The sequence below is a fragment of the Homo sapiens genome, chromosome 19 (genome assembly GCF_000001405.40).
Source record: "Homo sapiens chromosome 19, GRCh38.p14 Primary Assembly".
In the NCBI taxonomy this organism is placed as follows: Eukaryota; Metazoa; Chordata; class Mammalia; order Primates; family Hominidae; genus Homo; species Homo sapiens.
In genome coordinates, this window is record NC_000019.10 from 41,144,842 (window position 1) to 41,164,312 (window position 19,471).

At 44.7% G+C, this 19,471-nt stretch overlaps 1 protein-coding gene across 1 annotated transcript in view, besides 1 other annotated feature; it reads right to left on the bottom strand.

Annotated features, from left to right (window-relative positions):
• The window catches only part of LOC124904790 (uncharacterized), a 57,419-nt gene that overhangs the window by 9,208 nt on the left and 28,740 nt on the right, over positions 1-19,471 (bottom strand). The window lies entirely within an intron of this gene.
• Positions 14,207-14,770: an enhancer, noted in NCBI's record as "H3K27ac-H3K4me1 hESC enhancer chr19:41664953-41665516 (GRCh37/hg19 assembly coordinates)". NCBI's record gives its function as "activates a minimal SCP1, AML or CMV promoter by ChIP-STARR-seq in naive H9 embryonic stem cells {active_cell/tissue: H9 hESC(naive)}" and the evidence as "EXISTENCE:reporter gene assay evidence [ECO:0000049][PMID:30033119]".

The window sequence follows — 19,471 nt, forward strand, 5'->3', positions numbered from 1 at the left end:
CTCCCGAGTAGCTGGGATTACAGGCGCCTGCCACCACGCCAGGCTAATTTTTTGTATTTTTACAAAATACAAATTACTAATTTTTTGCATTTTCACCATGTTGGCCAGGCTGGTCTTGAACTCCTGACCCCGTGATCTACCTGCCTTGGCCTCCCAAAGTGCTGGGATTACAGGTATGAGCCACCACGCCCGGCCCATTTAATTTAAATTAATTTATTTAATCCCTCCCCTTAACAACCCGCTAAAGCAGGTAAGTTATAATCGGCACCCCTTCCACTTTTCACCCTTTTTTTCTTTTTCATTTCAATATTTTTTGGGGAAACACTTGGTTTTTGGTTACATGGATAATTTCTTTAGTGGCGATTTCTGAGATTTTGGTGCACCCGTCACCCGAGCAGTTTACACTATACCCAATGTGTAGTCTTTTATCCCTCACCCCCCTCCCACCCTTCCCCTCTGAGTCCCCGAAGTCCTCTATATCATTCTTATGCCTTTACATCCTCATAGCTTAGCTCCCACTTATAAGTGAGAACATAGGATATTTGGTTTTCCATTTCTGAGTTACTTCACTTAGCATAATGGTCTCCAACTCCATCCAGGTTGCTGCAAATGTCATTACTTTGTTCCTTTTTATGGCTGAGTAGTATTCCTTGGTGAATACCTACTACTTTTTTTTTTTTTTTAGACGGAGTCTTACTCTGTCACCAGGCTGGAGTGCAGTGGCGCCATCTCAGCTCACTGCAACCTCCACCTCCCAGGTTCAAGTGATTCTCCTCCCTCAGCCTACAGGCACGCGCCACCACACCCAGCTAATTTTTGTATTTTTAGTAGAGACAGGGTTTCACCATGTTGGCCAGGATGGTCTGGATCTCTTGACCTCATGATCCACCCACCTCAGCCTCGCTAAGTGCTGGGATTACAGGCTTGAATGAGCCACTGCGCCTGCACTACATTTTCTTTATCCACTCGAGGGTTAATGGGCATTTAGGTTTGTTCCATATTTTTGCAACTGCAAATTGTGCTGCTATAAACCTGTGCATGCAACTGTCTTTTTCATACAAAGACTTATTTTCCTTTGGGTGGATACCCAGTAGTGGGATTGCTAGATCAAATGATAGTTCTACTTTTAGTTCTTTAAGGAATCTCCACAGTGTTTTCCATAGTGATTGTACTAGTTTACATTCCCGCCAGCCGTGTAAAAGTTCCCTTTTCACCACATCCATGGCCAACATCTATATGTTTTGATTTTTTAATTATGATCATTCTTGCAGGAGTAAAGTGGTATCTCATTGTGTTTTTCATTTGCATTTCCCTGATAATTTGTGATGGTGAGCATTTTTTTCATAGGTTTGCTGGCCATTTGTATATCTTCTTTTGAGAATCGTCTATTCATGTCCTTCACTTTTTACTTTTATTTGAAAAAACTGTTTTATTTGTGGATGATATCAAACATACACAAGAGTAGATATAAGACTACATGCAGCCGGGCGCAGTGGCTCACACCTATAATCCTAGCACTTTGGGAGACCAAAGTAGGCAGATCACTTGAGGTCAGGATTTCGAGACCAGCCTGGCCAACATGATGAAACTCCGTCTCTACTAAAAATACACAAATAATTTGGGTGCAGTGGCACGTGCCTGTAATCCCAGCTACTCGAGAGGCTGAGGCATGAGAATCGCTTGACCCCGGGAGTCAGAGGTTGCAGTGAACCGAGAACGCGCCACTGCACTCCAGCCTGGGTGATACAGTGAGGCTCAGTCTCAAAACAAAACAAAGAAAAGTATATCCATCACCCAGCTTCAACAATGATCAACTCATGGCCAATCTTGTTTCATCTGTGCTCCCAACAACCTCCTTCCCCAACTCCCCAAAAATTGGGATTATTTTGAAGCAAAGCCCAGACCTCGCATAAATTCACCTATAAATGTTTTCACCACATATCTCTAAAATTATCCCATTTTACCACTGGGGAAACTGAGGCATGAAGAAATCACATAACTTAATCAAGGTCACTTTTCTGATAGGAGTTCAGAGCCAGGATCAAAGCCCAGCTCTCTGGTTCTAGAGCCCTTGCCTTTGACTGTCTTGATGCCTCTGGAATCTTAGATGAGAGTCTTTTTTTTTTTTTTTTTTTTGGAAAGACAGGGTCTCACTGTATTGCATAATCTTGGCTCACTGCAACCTCCACCTCCCAGTTTCAAGCGATTCTCCTGCCTCAGCCTCCTGAGCAGCTCAGATTACAGGCACCAGACACCACACCTGGCTAATTGTTTGTGTTTTTAGTAGAGATGGGGTTTTGCCATGCTGGCCAGGCTGGTCTCAAACTCCTGACCTCAAGTGAGCCACCCGCCTCGGCCTCCCAAAGTGCTGGGATTACAAGCATGAGCCACCATGCCTGGATGCCTATATCTATTATGGACATGTCTCAGTAAGCTGTGTGCTTAAAAGCTTTGCATTCTACTGTATGTAGGTGATACCTAAAAATGAAGGCAAAGGAGAACAGATTAAGTGTCATATATTCATAACACGAATTAGTATAAAGCAAGGAAAATGAATGAACAATATACAATAAACAGGATAAATCTAAGAAACATAATTTTGAGCAAAGGAGCCAGACGTAAAACAATACGTATTACTTGTTCCTTTTGTGCAAAGTGCCCCAAAACAGGCATTTAATTATGCATACTTAGGAAGTGAAATGCTAAACCAATCATGAAATGCTAAAATGCTATAAAAGTGTAAAAAAAATCCTTTCCATTGGAAGAAGGGAGGGGATAGTCATGGGAGAAACAGTAGCAGGCATCTGGCATGTAGGCAACATTCTGTCTCTTAACCTGGGTGTACACTTGGTATCAATTCATTGAGCTATATTCATTTGTTGTATGCCCTTTTTGTATTGACATTTAAAAATATATAATTCCCCGGCCGGGCACGGTGGCTCATGCCTGTAATCCCAGCACTTTGGGAGGCCAAGGAGGGTGAATCACGAGGTCAGGAGTTCAAGACCAGCCTAGCCAACAAGGTGAAACCCTGTCTCTACTGAAAATACAAAAATTAGCTGGGCATGATGGCTTATGCCTGTAATCCCAGCTACTCGGGAGGCTGAGGCAGGAGAATTGCTTGGACCAGGACCCGGGAGGCGGAGGTTGCAGTGAGCCAAGATCGCACCACTTTACTCTAGCCTGGGCTACAGAGTGAGACTCCATCTCAAAAAAAAAAAAAAAAAAAAAAAAAAAAAAAAAAAAAATATATATATATATATATATATATATATATATACACACACACACACACACATATATACATATGTATATATAAAATTTCCCATCACATCTGAATCATGAAATACTAAGAGATACATTTAATAAAATATGTGCAAAACCAGTACACTGAAAACCACAAAACATTAAAGAAGGAAACAGAATAAGACTTGAGTAAGGGGCGAGATCCACCATGTTCAAGAATCAGATTACTCAATATTAAGATATTAGTGCTCCAGCCCAGGCGCAGTGGCTCACACCTGTAATCCCAGCACTTTGGGAGCCCGAGGCGGGTGGATCACTTGAGGTCAGAAGTTCGAGACCAGCCTGGGCAACATGGTGAAACCGATCTCTACTAAAAATACAAAAAAATTAGCTGGGCATGGTGGCACACACCTATAATCCCTAGGGAGACTGAGGTAGGAGAACAGCTTGAACCCGGGAAATGAAGGTTGCATTGAGCAGAGATAGCGCCACTGCACTCCAGCCTGGGCAAAGAGTGAAACTCCATCTCAAAAAATAATAATAGTAATAAAAGATAATAGTGTTCATCTGTAGAGTAAATGAATCCCAGACAAAATTGAAATACCAGCAAGCTTTATTTATTTATTTATTTATTTATAGAAATTGTCAAGCTGAGGCTACAATTTATATGGCAATGTAAAGGATCAACAAGAGCCAAACATCTTGAAAAAGAAAAACCAGACTGGGCGCAGTGGTTCACACCTGTAATCCCAGCACTTTGGGAGGCTGAGGCAGGCAGATCACCTGAGGTCAGGAGTTCAAGACCAGCCTGGCCAACATGGTAAACCCCATCTCTACTACAAATACAAAAATGAGCCAAGTGTGGTGGCGCACGCCTGTAGTCCCAGCTACTCAGGAGGCTGAGGCAGGAGAATCACATGAACCCAGGAGGCAGAGGTTGCGGGGAGCCGAGATGGTACCACTGCACTCCAGCCTGGGAGACAGAGCAAGACCCTGTCTCAAAAAAAAAGAAAAAAAAAGAGAAAAACCAGGCTGGCACAGTGGCTCATGCCTATAATCCCAGCACTTTGGGAGGCCAAGGCGGGCGGATCACCTGAGGTCAGAAGTTCGAGACTAGCCTGACCAAAATGGTGAAATTCCGTCTCTACTAAAAATACAAAAAATTAGCCGAGTGTGGGGGCTTGTGCCTGTAATCCCAGCTACTTGGGAGGCTGAGACACAAGAATCACTTGAACCCGGGAAGCAGAGGTTGCAGTGAGCTGAGATTGCACCACTGCATTCCAGCCTGGGTGGCAGAGTGAGACTCCCACTCAAAAAAAAAAAAAAAAAAAAAAAAAAAAGAGGCCGGGCACAGTGGTTTATGGTTTATGCCTGTAATCCCAGCACTTTGGGAGGCCGAGGTGGGTGGATCACGAGGTCAGAAGATGGAGATCATCCTGGTTAACACAGTGAAACCCCGTCTCTACTAAAAATACAAAAAAATTAGCCAGGCGTGGTGGTGGGCGCCTGTAGTCCCAGCTACTTGGGAGGCTGAGGCTGGAGAATGGCGTGAACCCAGGAGGTGGAGCTTGCAGTGAGCCAAGATCGCGCCACTGCACTCCAGCAGCCTGGACAGAGTGAAACTTCGTCTCAAAAAAAAAAAAAAAAAGAAAAAGAAAAGCCAAATGGAAGGATTTATATTAATATCAAAATTTATAATAAAACTACAGTAATAGGCTGGGCACTGTGGCTCATGCCTGTAATCCCACCACTTTGGGAGGCCAATGCAAGAGCCCAGAAGTTCACTTGAGCTTAGAAGTTCAAGACCAGCCTGGGCAATATAGTGAGAACCCATCTCTACAAAAACTTAAAAAACTAGCCAGGCATGATGGCATGTGCCTGTGGTCCTAGCTATTCAGGAGGCTGAGGTGGGAGGACCGCTTGAGCCCAGGAGGTCTAGGCTGCAGTGAGTCATGATGGCACTGCTCCACTCCAGCCTGGGTGACAGGGCAAGACTCTGTCTCAAAAAAACAAAAAACCACACACACACACTACAGTAATAAAGGCAAGGTGTACTGGGATTCCGATAGAAAGAGATGAATGGAATAAACTAGGAAGTCCATAAATATGTGGTCAATAGAATTTTTTTTTCTTAGAGTTGGGGGTCTCACTGTGTTTAACAGGCTGGTCTCAAACTCTTGGACTCAAGCGATCCTCCTGCCTCAGCCTCCCTCACCTGCTTTCAATTGATTACTGACAAAGATGCTAAGATAATTCAGTGGAGAAAAGACAGTATTTTCTTTTTCTTTTTTTTTCTTTTTTTTTTTTTTTTTTTTTTTTGAGGAGTCTTGCTCTGTAGCCCAGGCTGGAGTGCAGTGGCTCAATCTTGGCTTACCGCAAACTCTGCCTCCCGGGTCCCAGTTCAAGCAATTCTCCTGCCTCACCCTCCCGAGTAGCTGGGACTACAGGCATGCATCACCATGCCCAGCTGATTTTTGTATGTTTAGTAGAGACGGGGTTTCGCCATGTTGGCCAGGCTGGTCTCGAACTCCTGACCTTGTGATTCACCCACCTTGGCCTCCCAAAGTGCTGGGATTACAGGTGTGAGCCACCACACCTGGCCAGTATTTTCAACAAATGGTAGAATGACTAAATAGCCTCATGGAAACAAAACGAACCCTGCCTTTTACTTCACATCATACACAAAAATTAACTTGAAATAGGTCAGAGATCTAAAAGTACAGACTAAAGCTAAAGAACTTCTAAAAACATATTTTCAAAACCTTGAAGTAGATCTTTTTTTTTTTTTAACATGGGACTCAAAAATCACTAATCATAAAGGAAAAAATTGACAAACTGGACTTAGTCAAAAATAATACTTTCAGCCAGGCACGGTGGCTCATGCCTCTAATCCCAACACTTTAGGAGGCCAAGGTGGGAGGATTGCTTGAACCCAGGAGTTCTAAACCAGCCTGGGCAACGTAGTGAGAACCAGTCTCTATATTTAAAATAAATAAATAAATAATAGTAGTACTTTTGCTCATCCAAAACCAGCATTAAGAAAATATACGGACCGGCCAGGCGTGGTGACTCACACCTGTGATTCCAGCACTTTGGGAGGCCAAGGCAGGCAGATCACCCGAGGTCAGGAGTTTGAGACCTGTCTGGCCAAACCCCATCTCTACTAAAAATATAAACATTAGCCGGGTGTGGTGGCACACGCCTGTAATCCCAGCTACTCAAGAGGCTGAGGCAGGAGAATTGTTTGAACCCAGGAGGCAGGGGTTGCAGTGAGCCAACATTGTGCCACTGCACTCCAGCATGGGCAACAGAGAGAGACTCCATCAAAAAAAAAAAAAAGGAAAGAAAGGAAAAGAAAAGAAGATATATAGACCAGGCACAGACCAGAAGAAAATATTCACAACACATATATCTCACAAAATAACCCGTGCCTGAAATATCTAAACAACTCCTATGGCTCAATAAAAAAAAAAAAAAAAAAGCCCAACCAGCCGGGCACGGTGGCTCACACCTGTAATCCCAGCACTTTGGGAGACCAAGGTGGGGTGGATCACGAGGTCAGGAGATCGAGACCATCCTGGCTAACATGGTGAAACCCTGTCTCTTCTAAAAAAATACAAAAAATTAGCCGGGCATGGTGGCACACGCCTGTAGTCCCAGCTACTCGGGAGGCTGAGGCAGGAGAATGGCGTGAACCTGGGAGGCGAAGCTTGCAGTGAGCCGAGATCGCGCCACTGCACTCCAGCCTGGGCGACAGAGTGAGACTGCGTCTCCAAAAAAAAAAAAAAAAAAAAAGCCCAACCAAAAAATGGCCAACAGGCTATAAAAAGGTGTTTAATGTCATTAGCCAACAGGAAACACAAATTAAAACCACACTGAGATACCACCACACACCCATAAGAAAGGCTAAATGGAAATATGCAAACAGCACCTAGTGCTGGCAAGGATCACCAGAACTCTCGTTCATGACTATGGGTGTATAAAACGTACAACTGCTTAGAAAAAGTTTCTGCAAATTTCTTAAAAGTTTAGCAGGCCAGGCGCAGTGGCTCGTGCCTGTAATCCCAGCACTTTGGGAGGCCGACGCGGGTGGAACACGAGGTCAGGAGTTCGAGACCAGCCTGGCCAACACAGTGAAACCCCGTCTCTACTAAAAATACAAAAATTAGCCAGCCGTGGTGGCAGGCACCTGTAATCCCAGCTACTCAGGAGGCTGAGGCGGGAGAATTGCTTGAACCCGGGAGGTGGAGGTGGCAGTGGGCTGAGACCACACCATTGCACTCCAGCCTGGGTGACAGAGTAAGACTCCATCTCAAAAAACAAACAAACAAAAAAGTTTGGCAGGCCAGAGGCGGTGGCTTACTCCTGTAATCCCAGCACTTGGAGGATCACTTGAGCCCAGGACTTCAAGACCAGCCTGGGCAACATCAGGAGACCCTGTCTCTACAAAAACATGAAAACTAGCCGGGTGAGATGGTGTGCACCTGTAACCCAGCTACTTGGGAAGCTGAGGTGGTAGGATTTCTTGAGCCCAGGAGGTCAGGGCTGCAGTGAGCCAGAGATTGCACCACTGCACTCCAGCGTGGGCAACAGAACAAGACCCTGTCTCAAAAAAAATAAAATTAGCATCACGCAACAACATAGATACATTTCAAAAACATTGTGCTGAGTAAAGCAAGTCTTGCACACAAGAGTACTTATGGTATAATTCTGGTTATTTGGGCTGCCGAGGCAGGTGGATCACCTGAGGCCAGGAGTTCCAGACCAGCCTGGCCAAAATGGTGAAACCCCATTTCTGCTAAAAATACAAAAAATTAGCTGGGCATGGTGGCACATGCCTATAATCCCAACTGCTCGGGAGGCTGAGGCAGGAGAATTACTTGAACCCAGGAGGTGGAGGTTGCAGTGAGCCGAGGTTGCACCACCGCACTCCAGCCTGCGCAACAAGAGCAAAACTCTGTCTCAAAAAAAAAGAAAAGGAAATGCTGGTTATTTAACGTTCTATAACAGACAAAACTAACTTATGTGGGGAGGTGGGACAAAAGAGTTGTTGTTTCTGAGACACTGACTGAGAAGGGACATGAGGGGACTTTTTGCGGTGATGATAGTGCTCTATCTTGATGGGTGTTTTTATTATACAGGTACATGCATTTTTCAAAGCACATCAAACCATATAGTTATGATTTATGCATTTTATTCTATGTCAATTTTACCTTGAAAACATAAAGATTCAATTTTAGGTAATGATATTGATATTCAAGTGTCTGGGGGTGAAATGTACTGGTGTCTGCCATTTCTATCAAGAAGCATCAGAAAAATAGGCGAGGTGCAGTGGCTCATGCCTGTAATCCCAACACTTTGGGAGGCCAAGGTGGGAGGATCACTTGAGGTCAGGAGTTCGAGACCAGCCTGGCCAACAAGATGAATCCCGTTTCTACCAAAAAATACAAAAATTAGCCGGGCGTGGTGGTGCATGCCTGTTGTCCCAGCTACTCGGGAGGCTGAGATGGGAGAATCGCTTGAAGAAAAAAGGCCTGGCGCGGTGGCTCACGCCTATAATCCCAGCACTTTGGGAGGCCAAGGCAGGCAGATCATCTGAGGTCGGGAGTTCGAGACCAGCTAGACCAACATGGTGAAACCCCATCTCTACTAAAAGTACAAAATTAGCCGGGCATGGTGGCACACGCCTGTAATCCCAGCTACCCGGGAGGCTGAGACAGGAGAATTGCTTGAACTAGGGAGGCGGAAGTTGCAGTGAGCTGAGATCACGTCATTGCACTCCAGCCTGGGCAACAAGAGCAAGGCACGGTGGCTCACGCCTGTAATCCCAGCACATTGGGAGGTTGAGGCGGGCGGATCACGAGGTCAGGAGATCAAGACCAACCTGGCTAACACGGTGAAACCCCATCTCTACTAAAAATACAAAAAAAAATTAGCCGGGCGTGGTGGCGGGGTCCTGTAGTCCCAGCTATTCAGGAGGCGGAGGCGGGAGAATGGCGTGAACCCAGGAGGCAGAGCCTGCAGTAAGCCAAGATCGCACCATTGCACTCCAGCCTGGGTGACAGAGCGAGATTCCATCCCAAAAAAAAAAAAAAAAAAAAAAAAAAAAGCAAGGGCGAAACTCAATCTCAAAATAAATAAATAGGTGCAGTGGCTCATGCCTGTAATCGCAGTGCTTTGGAAGGCTGAAATGAGAAGATTGCTTGAGGCCAGGAGTTTGAGGTTACAGTGAGCTGTGATCACTCCATGGCACTCCAGCCTGGGTGACAAAGCAAGAAATACAAATAAAATAAATAATAAGGTGGTTTGGTGGGAGGGTAGAAGGATAGATATGACAAAACAAACATGGGAAAATGTTCATTGTAGAATCTAAGTGATGAGTATGTGGGTGTTTATTATACAATTCTTTAAACTTTTCTTTATGTTTGAAATTTTTTCCTAATAGTGTTGGGAGAAAGTAACATCTATTCTGTGAGCCAGTTATTTCTCCCTTTGGTATTTATCCAAGAGAAATAAAAACTTATGTCTACATAAAACTTTGTAAGAGAATGTTCATCCCAGCCGGGTGCGATGGCTCACGCCTGTAATCCCAGCACTTTGAGAGGCCAAGGCAGGTGGATCACAAGGTCAGGAGATAGAGACCAACCTGGCTAACACGGTGAAACCCAATCTCTACTAAAAACACAAAAAATTAGCCCGGCGTGGTGGTGGGCGCCTGTAGTCCCAGCTACTTGGGAGGCTGAGGCAGGAAAATGACATGAACCCGGGAGGCGGAGCTTGCAATGAGCTGAAATTGCACCACTGCACTCCAGCCTCGGTGACAGAGCGAGACTCCGTCTCGAAAAAAAAAAAAGGAATGTTTATCCCAGCTCTATTATTGGCAAGAGACTGTAAACAGCTCAGATGTCCATCAACAGGAGAATGGATAAACAAACTCAAACTGTGCTTTATTTATACAATGGACTCCTACTCAACTATTGAAAAGGAATGAACTACTAATTCAAACTACTAAAAGGAATGAACTACTAACACACTAATAACGTGAGTGAATCTCAAACATTTTGCTAAGTGAGATTCAAAAAAGGGTGTATTATATAGAATTCTAGTCACAGGAAACTCTAGAAAAGGCAAAGCTAATCTGTGGTTCTAGAAATCACAACAGTGCTTGCTTTTCAAGTGCTTATGAATTGGGAAAAGGCATGATGAATGCTTCTATGGTGATGAACACGTTCTGTGTCTTGAGAGAAATTTGGGTTACATGGGTGTATGCCTTTGTCATAATTGACTGAACTGTAAACCTGTGGATTTCATGGAATGTAAATTATACCCTTTTAAGAAAGCTGATTATAAGTGGGAAAGGATTCTGCACATGCTAAACCAGATAATTTGTCACATAGTGCTTTGTAAGGCTATGTGTATCGGTATGGAAACACTAACAGAGATCCTAGATATATTGCTAGATCAACTTTCTAGAAGTTGTTCAAATTATTGGCTCTGTTGGACTAAACTAAATGAAGCTTAGTTTTGTTGATATAATATATAGTTGATATCATAGATTTGTTGATGTAATGTAGAGGAAGAAATCCAAAGACTGAGGCCAGGCATGGTGGCTTACGCCTGTGATCCCAGCACTTTGGGAGGCTGAGGTGGGTGGATCACCTGAGGTCAAGAGTTCGAGACCAGCCTGGCCAATATGGAGAAGCCCCATCTCTACTAAAAATACAAAATTAGCCAGGCATGGTGGCGCGTGCCTGTAATCCCAGCTACTCAGGAGGCTGAGGCAGGAAAATCACTTGAACCTGGGAGGTGGAGGTTGCAACGAGCTGAGATCGCACCACTGCACTCCAGCCTGGGCAACAGAGCAAGACTCCATCTCAAAACAAACAAATAAACAAAGACTGATATAATAAATGTTGGAGAGTACCTGTTAAGTTTAGAAGATCATACACACCCTAACAATATCTCCTAAGGAAACATGCCTTTCACAATGACATTGAGAAATATACTGGCATCAGAAGCACTAGCATCTTTGAAAAGCCCTGTAACGGCTGGTATAGAGGTAAAAAAATTCAGATGGCTCATTTCAGCCATTGAAATGGGTTCCCTTATTCCAACTGGAATGGCACATTCCAGGACAAAAGATAGGAAATTAAAGATTTGACAGACACCAAACAAGACACACAGATAGCAAAAAGCACATGTAAAAATGCTCAATATCACAAGTAATTAGGGAAATTCAAATTTAAGCCACAATGAGATACCACTACATAACTATCCAAACGACTGGTCATATCAAATGTTGGCCAGGAGAGGGAGGAACTGGAACTCTCATGCACTGCCGGTGGAAATGTACAATGAATGGTACAACCATTTTTGGAAAACAGTATGGCAGTTGCTCAAAAAGTTAAACATACCTTTATGATCCAGCCCCTTCCCTCCTATTTAGTCAAGAGAAATGAAAATATATGTTCATATAAAAACTTGTGGCAGGGCAAGGTGGCTCATGCCTATAACCCCAACACTTTGGGAGGATGAGGCGAGTGGATCGCTTGAGCTCAAGAGACCATCCTGGGCAACATGGCAAAGCCCTCATCTCTACAGAAAATTTAAAAATTAGCCAGGTATGGTGGCGCCCGCCTGTAGTTCCAGCTACTCAAGAAGCTGAGGTAGGAGGATCACTTGAGTCTGGGAGATCAAGGCTGCAGTGAGCTGTCATTGCACCACTGCACTCCTCCTGGGGTGACAGAGCAAGACCCTGTCTCAAACAACAACAACAACAAAAACTTGTAGTCTGGGCGCAATGGCTCACACCTGTAATCCCAGCACTTTGGGAGGCCGAGGTGGGTGGATCACGAGGTCAGGAGATCAAGACCATCCTGGCTAACATGGTGAAACCCTGTCTCTACTAAAAATACAAAAAAAAAATTAGCCAGGCGTGGTGGTGGGAGCCTGTAGTCCCAGCTACTAGGGAGGCTGAGGCAGGAGAATGGCATGAACCCGGGAGGTGGAGCTTGCAGTGAGCCAAGATCACACTACTGCACTCCAGCCTGGGCAACAGAGCGAGACTCTGTCTCAAAAATAAATATACAAAAAAAAACTTGTATACAAGTGTTCATAGAAGCTGCATTTTTAATAGCCAAAAATTGAAAACACCCCAAATGTTCATCAACAGGTAAATGGATAAACAAACTGTGGTACATCTGTACAATGGAATACTACTTGGCAATCAAAAGGAATGTACTATTGATACATACAGCAACATGAATCAATCTCAGAATAATTATGTTGGACTCCTCCCCCCAAAAAGGAACATACTATATGATTCCGTTTATATAAGACTCAAGAAAATACAAACTAATCTATAGCAATAGAGAACAAATCAGAGGTTGCTTGAAAAATAGGGATGGGAGTGTAAGTGGGTGGGAGAGATTACAAAAAAATACAAGGAAATGTTGAGATTACAGAAATGCTCATTTAAATATGAGCAGTGGAAGGGCGTGGTGGCTCACACCTGTAATCCCAGCACTTTGGGAGGCCAAGTGGGGAGGATTGCTGGAGTCCAGGAGTTTTGAGACCAGCCTGAGCAACATGGCAAAACCCTGTCTCTAAAAAAACCAAACAAACAAAAAAACTAGCGAGGCATGGTGTACATGCCTGTAGTCCCAGCTACTTGGGAGGCTGATGTGAGAGAATCAAAATAAATAAATAAATAAATATGAGCCATTTGTTTTATGTCAATTATACCTTGATAAAGTTTTTTTTAGTGACTTTGGGAATATAACAACCAAACACAGTCTCAGGGCTTTTTTGCATTCTGTTTTGAACAAAGTAACCAAAAATGACTTTTCTGAGATCATTGGAGAAGTATGAATATGGACTGAGTGTTAGATGAAATTAAAGGAATATTATTTTTGCTAGCTGGAATAATGGCATGATGGTACTGCTAAACTTTTTATCATTAAGCAATGCATACTGAGATAGTTATGGGGCAAATATCTGGGATTGTTTAAAATGCTTCGGAAAACAGGAATACATAAAATAAGCTGAGGAGAATGCTGATAATTGGTGAAACTAGGTGATAGGAGTTTATTGCATTCTTCTCCCTACTTTTGTAGATATCTGAATGTCACTTTCATAATAAAGTTAGAAACAGGCTGGGCGTGGTGGCTCACACCTCTAATCCCAGCACTTTGGGAGGCCAAGGCAGGAGGATCGCCTGAGCCCAGGAGTTCAAGACCAGCCTGGCCAACATAGCGAAACCCCATCTCTACTAAAAATACAAAAATCAGCCAGGCATGGTGGCATGTGCCTGCAGTCCCAGCTACTTGGGAGGCTGAGACACAAGAATTGCTTGAACCCAGGAAGCAGATGTTGCAGTGAGCTGAGATTGCACCACTGCACTCCAGCCTGGATGACAAAAGTGAGACTCTTGTCTCAAAAAAAAAAAAAAAAAAAAAAGACTCGAATAAAATAAAAAGAATGACTCCTAGATCTCTAATTCTAGCAATCAGGGTATGGTAATACCACTTACCAAGATGCATGGGAGATAAACAGGTTCAGAGGAAATCAAGTTCTCATTAAGGGCCACATTAAGGTTCATAAAGAACCTTTGGGCCAGGCGTGTTAGCTCATGCCTGTAATCCCAGCACTTTGGGAGGCCGAGGTGGGCAGATCGCTTGAGGCTAGGAGTTTGAGACCAACCTGACCAACATGATAAAACCCCATCTCTACTAAAAATACAAAAATTAGCCAGGCATGGTGGCAGGTGCCTGTTATCCCAGTTACTCAAGAAGCTGAGGCAGGAGGATCACTTGAACCTGGGAGGCAAAGGTTGCAGTGAGCCAAGATCATGCCACTGCACTCCAGCCTGGGCAACAGAAAAAAAAAGATCAGCAAAAAAAAAAAAAAAAAAAAAAAAAAGGCTCACAGGGCGGAGTCTGAGGGAGATCCCATGAGCTGCCACCTGTCCTCTTTCAGTGGACTTGTGTGGAGAGGGCTTTATTCCCCAGCAAGAAGCCATGACAAGCATGGAGCACTTCCAACCAGGAAAACTCACCCAAGCTCTGGTGTCCAAGGTGTTCACTGGGGGTCAGTTACATAGGCAGAGAGCACCCAAGTGACAACTCCTCAGTCTCCAGCCCACAGAGGTCAAACTAACACAGTGTTGCCCAAAGCCCCAGGTATGCAAAAACAGACACCATGAGTCATGGTGTTAGCATAAACTATCCCTCTGTCCCACCCAAGGCCCAGATGTGTACAGATACTGTTATCAGGCAGGATATTCCAAAGGCTTAGAGCTTAAGGAGTGGTCAAGGGCCAGTTTTTTTCTTTGGAATGTTCAATACTTAAGGACCCATGCCAGCAGAGTTAAGGCTTTACTGCACGTGGCCCTACTTCTGCCAATGAACTTGGAGCTTACGTAGCATCTTTTTTTTTTTTCTTTTTGAGATGGAGTTTCGCTCTTTTTGCCCAGGCTGGACTGCAATGGCACGATCTCGGCTCACCGCAACCTCCGCCTCCTGGGTTCAAGTGATTCTCCTGCCTCAGCCTCCCGAGTAACTGGGATTACAGGCATGTGCCACCATGCCTGGCTAATTTTGTATTTTTTAGTAGAGACAGGGTTTCTCCACGTTGGCCAGGCTGGTCTCGAACTCCCGACCTCAGGTGATCTGCCCGTCTTGGCCTCCCAAAGTGCTGGGATTACAGGCGTGAGCCACCGTGACTGGCCATAGCATCTTAATAAAGAACAATAAATTTGTTTGGGAGGCTGAGGCAGGAGAATCGCTTGAACCCAGGAGGCGGAGTTTACAGTGAACCAAGATCATGACACTGCACTCCAGCCTGGGTGACAGAGTTGGACTCCAGATCAACACCAACACCAACAACAACAACAAAAAAAAAAAAAAAAAAAAAAAAGAACAATAAATTTGTAGAGAATGACAAGACACAGGAAAAGAACTTTTGAGCTTCCGGGCACAGCAAATTGTGGGAAGATAAATATATTGGGCAACTAGTGGAAGATAAGGGCTGGCTCATAAGGTTTGTTATATAGATTCCCCTCCTGCCATCTGTGGGCTGATAAGAGTCTAGAGATTGTATTGGCTATTAAGAAATCATCCTGCCCTTCTTGGTAGAGAAGGGGAGGGCAGAGTTCTTTCATGTGTCTGCTTTTTCTCAACTGTCTTCAGCTCAAAATAATGCTTATGCTGGGGTGGCAAATTTGAGGTAACACACTCTCAACCCCTTCACCCATCAATCTAAGGTGACCAGGAACTAACTTGTAGTCTAACAAAGCCAGGTTCACTGACCCATTTCAATGAGGGAGAATGCACACCAGAACCATGGGGCATCTCACCAAACAAAGGAAAAGATTGGCCAAGCAAGGTGGCTCATGCTTGTAATCCCAGCACTTTGGGAGCCCAAGACAGGAGGATCACTTGAGGCCAGGAGTTCAAGACCAGCCTGGGCAACATAGTGAGAATCCCTCTCTTAAAAAAAAAAAAAAAAAAAAAGTTTTTTAATTAGCCAAGTGTGGTGGTGCACCTTAATTCCAGCTACTCAGGAGGCTAAGGCAGGAGGACTGCTTGAGCCCAGGAGTTAGAGGCTGCAGTGAGCCTGTGATTGTGGTGATGGAGTGAGACCCTGTGAAAGAGGATAAGGGGGCAGTGGGGAAGGAAAGGGCTGGGAGGGGAGGGGAGGGGAGGGGAGGAGAGGGGAGGGAGAGGAGAAAGAAAGAAAGAAAAGAAAAGAAAGGAAAGAAGGAAGGAAGGAAAGAAAGAAGGAAGGAGAGAGGAAGAAAGAAAGAAAAAGAGAAAGAAAGGAAGGAAGAAAAAGAAAGAAAGAGAAAGAAAGAAAGAAAGAAAGAAAGAGAAACAAAGAAAAGAAAAGAAAGAGAAAAGAGGGAGGAGAGGTAAGGGGAGGGGAGGAGAAGAGGTCAGTTCAAGACCAGCCTGGTCAACAAGGTGAAACCCCATCTCTACTAAAAATACAAAAATTAGCCAGCATGGTGCTGCTAATCCCAGCTACTCAGGAGGCCGAAGCAAGAGAATCACTTGAACCTAGGAGGCAGAGGTTGCAGTGAGCCGAGATCACGCCACTGCAAACCAACCTGGGTGACAGAGTCAGACTCCGTATCAAAAAAAGAAATGAAATAAATTAATTAATTAAGTGAAATGAAAATAATTTGTGGATACAAGGAAAAAATTTAAAAATTTTAGAAAAAGAAAATGTTACCTACTTCTCAGTGGTATGTGAAGATTTAGCAAGACGTGTAGGCAAAGAGCTGAACACAAGTCCTTATAGGACGCCCTTAACAAATATTAGCTATTGTTGTTATCGATATCAGCATTACTTTCACACAGATATTTTTGATCAACTGAAAGCACCACCCACCTCCACACACATTAACCCAGAGCAATGTATTGTCAGTGCTTGAGAGAAAGGGCTGACTGGGTGCGGTGGCTCACGCCTGTAATCCCAGCACTTTGGGAGGCCGAGGCAGGCAGATCACCTGAGGTCGGGAGTTCAAGACCAGCCTGACCAACATGTAAAAACCCCAACTCTACTAAAAACACAAAATTAGCCAGGTGTGGTGGCACACTACTGTAATCCCAGCTACTCGGGAAGCTGAGGCAGGAGACTCTTTGAACCCGGGAGGTGGAGGTTGCAGTGAGCTGAGATTGGGCCATTGCACTCCAGCCTGGGAAACAAAAGCAAAACTTCCTCTCAAAAAAAAAAAAGAGAGAGAGAAAGGGCTTTGTTGCCACAACATGTAAGTTCAGTCCTAGTTCATTTGCTTCCGAGCTGTGTGAACTTAAGCAATTGTGTCATTTTCCTGAGCCTCAGTTTCCTTATCTGTAAAGTGGGAATCATATTTCTCTCGGGATTTCTGAGAATTAAATAGAATCATATTATTATTCTCTCTTCCACTCAAGCCATTTCTGTCTCCCTGCTCCCGCAATTCCTAAACCTTCCCACCTCAGCTACAGCTCACAGCGCCTCCTGGAGGCCTGGAGGGTCTGATCCTTGGAGGGGGCGCAAGAATGGGAGAGTGGATAAGGGGCAGGGTGCTGGGCTGGAGAGGGCTGGAGAGCCCTGGGATGTTACCTGTTCTCACTGGAGGAGACCAAAGGCACATTTAGCCTGATGGGGGGTGAGGGGTTGCCCCTGTGCGAGTTATATCTGCATGGGTACTTCTGTGTGTGTTTGTAGGTAAAGGGCAGTTAAAAGTCTGGGATGACTGGAAATCTGGAACCTGAAGTCTTTGGAGAATGAAAAAGAGTGGTTGTGCATGAGTCCCTCAGCAGTATAACAGGGGTAGGTTATTCTGAAATATTAGATATAAATATAGAATATGAATATATTAGCATAGATGTACAGATAAATGATGTATACTTATACAATAGAAAGATGATTTAGGGCTGGGCCTGGTGGCTCACGCCTGTAATCCCAGAACTTTGAGAGGCCGAGGCAGGCAGATCACCTGAGGTCAGGAGTTTGAGACCAGCCTGGCCAACATGGAGAAACCCCGTCTCCACAAAAAATACAAAAATTATCGGCTGGGCGCAGTGGCTCACACCCGTAATCCCAGCACTTTGGGAGGCGGAGGCGGGCACATCACGAGGTCAGGAGATCCAGATCATCCTGGCTAACACAGTGAAACCCCGTCTCTACTAAAAATATTTTTAAAAAATAGCTGGGCGTGGTGGCAGGTGCCTGTAGTCCCAGCTACTCGGGAGGCTGAGGCAGGAGAATCGCTTTAACCTGGGAGGTGGAGCTTGTAGTGAGCCGAGATCGCACCACTGCACTCCAGCCTGGGTGACAGAGAGAGACTCCATCTCAAAAAAAAACAAAAAACAAAACAAAAACAAAAATTAGCCTGGTGTGGTGGCACATGCCTGTAGTCCCAGCTACTCAGGAGGCTGAGGCAGGAGAATCACTTGAACCCAGGAGGCGGAGGCTGCAGTGAGCTGAGATCAAACGACTGCATTCCACCCTGGGTGACAGAGCGAGACTCCATCTGAAAAAAAAATGATTATTTAGATAGATAATATAGATATAAAGATAAATTATATAGACATAAATGGTAAATAGATGATTCAAATATAGATGATATAAATATAGTATAGACGTGATATGAATATAGAAATGGATATAGATGATACAGACAGGAAAAAGCAGACACATAATTATGTTAATATCTTTAACTACTGGCCGGCGTGGTGGCTCACGCCTGTAATCCCAGCACTTTGGGAGGCCGAGGTGGGCGGATTATGAAGTCAGGAGATCGAAACCATCCTGGCTACCACGGTGAAACCCCATCTCTACTAAAAATACAAAAAAAATTTAGCCGGGCATGGTGGTGGACGCCTGTAGTCCCAGCTACTCAGGAGGCTGAGGCGCGAGAATGGCGTGAACCCAGGAGGCGGAGCTTGCAGTGAGCCAAGATCGCGCCACTGCACTCCAGCCTGGGCGAAAGAGCAAGACTCTGTCTCAAAAAAAAAAAAAAAAAAAAAAAAAAATTCTTTAACTACTGAGATCTTCGGCTTGGGAAAAATGGGGTCCTAATGTACAGTTTTTATAGAGAAGGCAAGAGACAACTGGGCATGGTGGCTCATGCCTGTAATCTCAGAACTTTGGGAGGCTGAGCCGGGCAGATTGCTTGGGCCCAGGAGTTCAAGACCAGCCCGACCAACATGGCAAGACTCTGTCTCTACAAAAAATATTAAAAATTAGCCAGGTATGATGGTGAGCACCTGTAGTCCCAGATACTACAGAGGCGGAGGCATGAGAATCACTTGAGCCTGGGAGGTTGAGGCTGCAGTGAGCCATGATTGCGCCACTGCACTCCAGCCTGGGTGGACAGAGTGAGACCCTGTCACAAAACGAAAAGAAAGAAAGAAAAAAAAAGCAAGAGACATGCCTGATTCTTTCCTTTACTTACTAGTTTTCACAATAATGAGTTGGTTCCTTAGTGTCCTTCAAAAGTGGCCTGTGAGGTTCGGTTCTTTTGAGTATCAAGATGTTGGCAGAGCACTGTGGCTCACACCTGTAATCCCAGCATTTTGGGAGGCCAAGACAGGTGGATCACTTGAGGTCAGGAGTTTGAGACAACCCTGGCCAACATGGTGAAACCCTGTCTCTACTAAAAATACAAAAATTAGTCAGGCATGGTGGTGGATGCCTGTAATCCCAGCTACTCAGGAGGCTGAGCCAGGGGAATCGG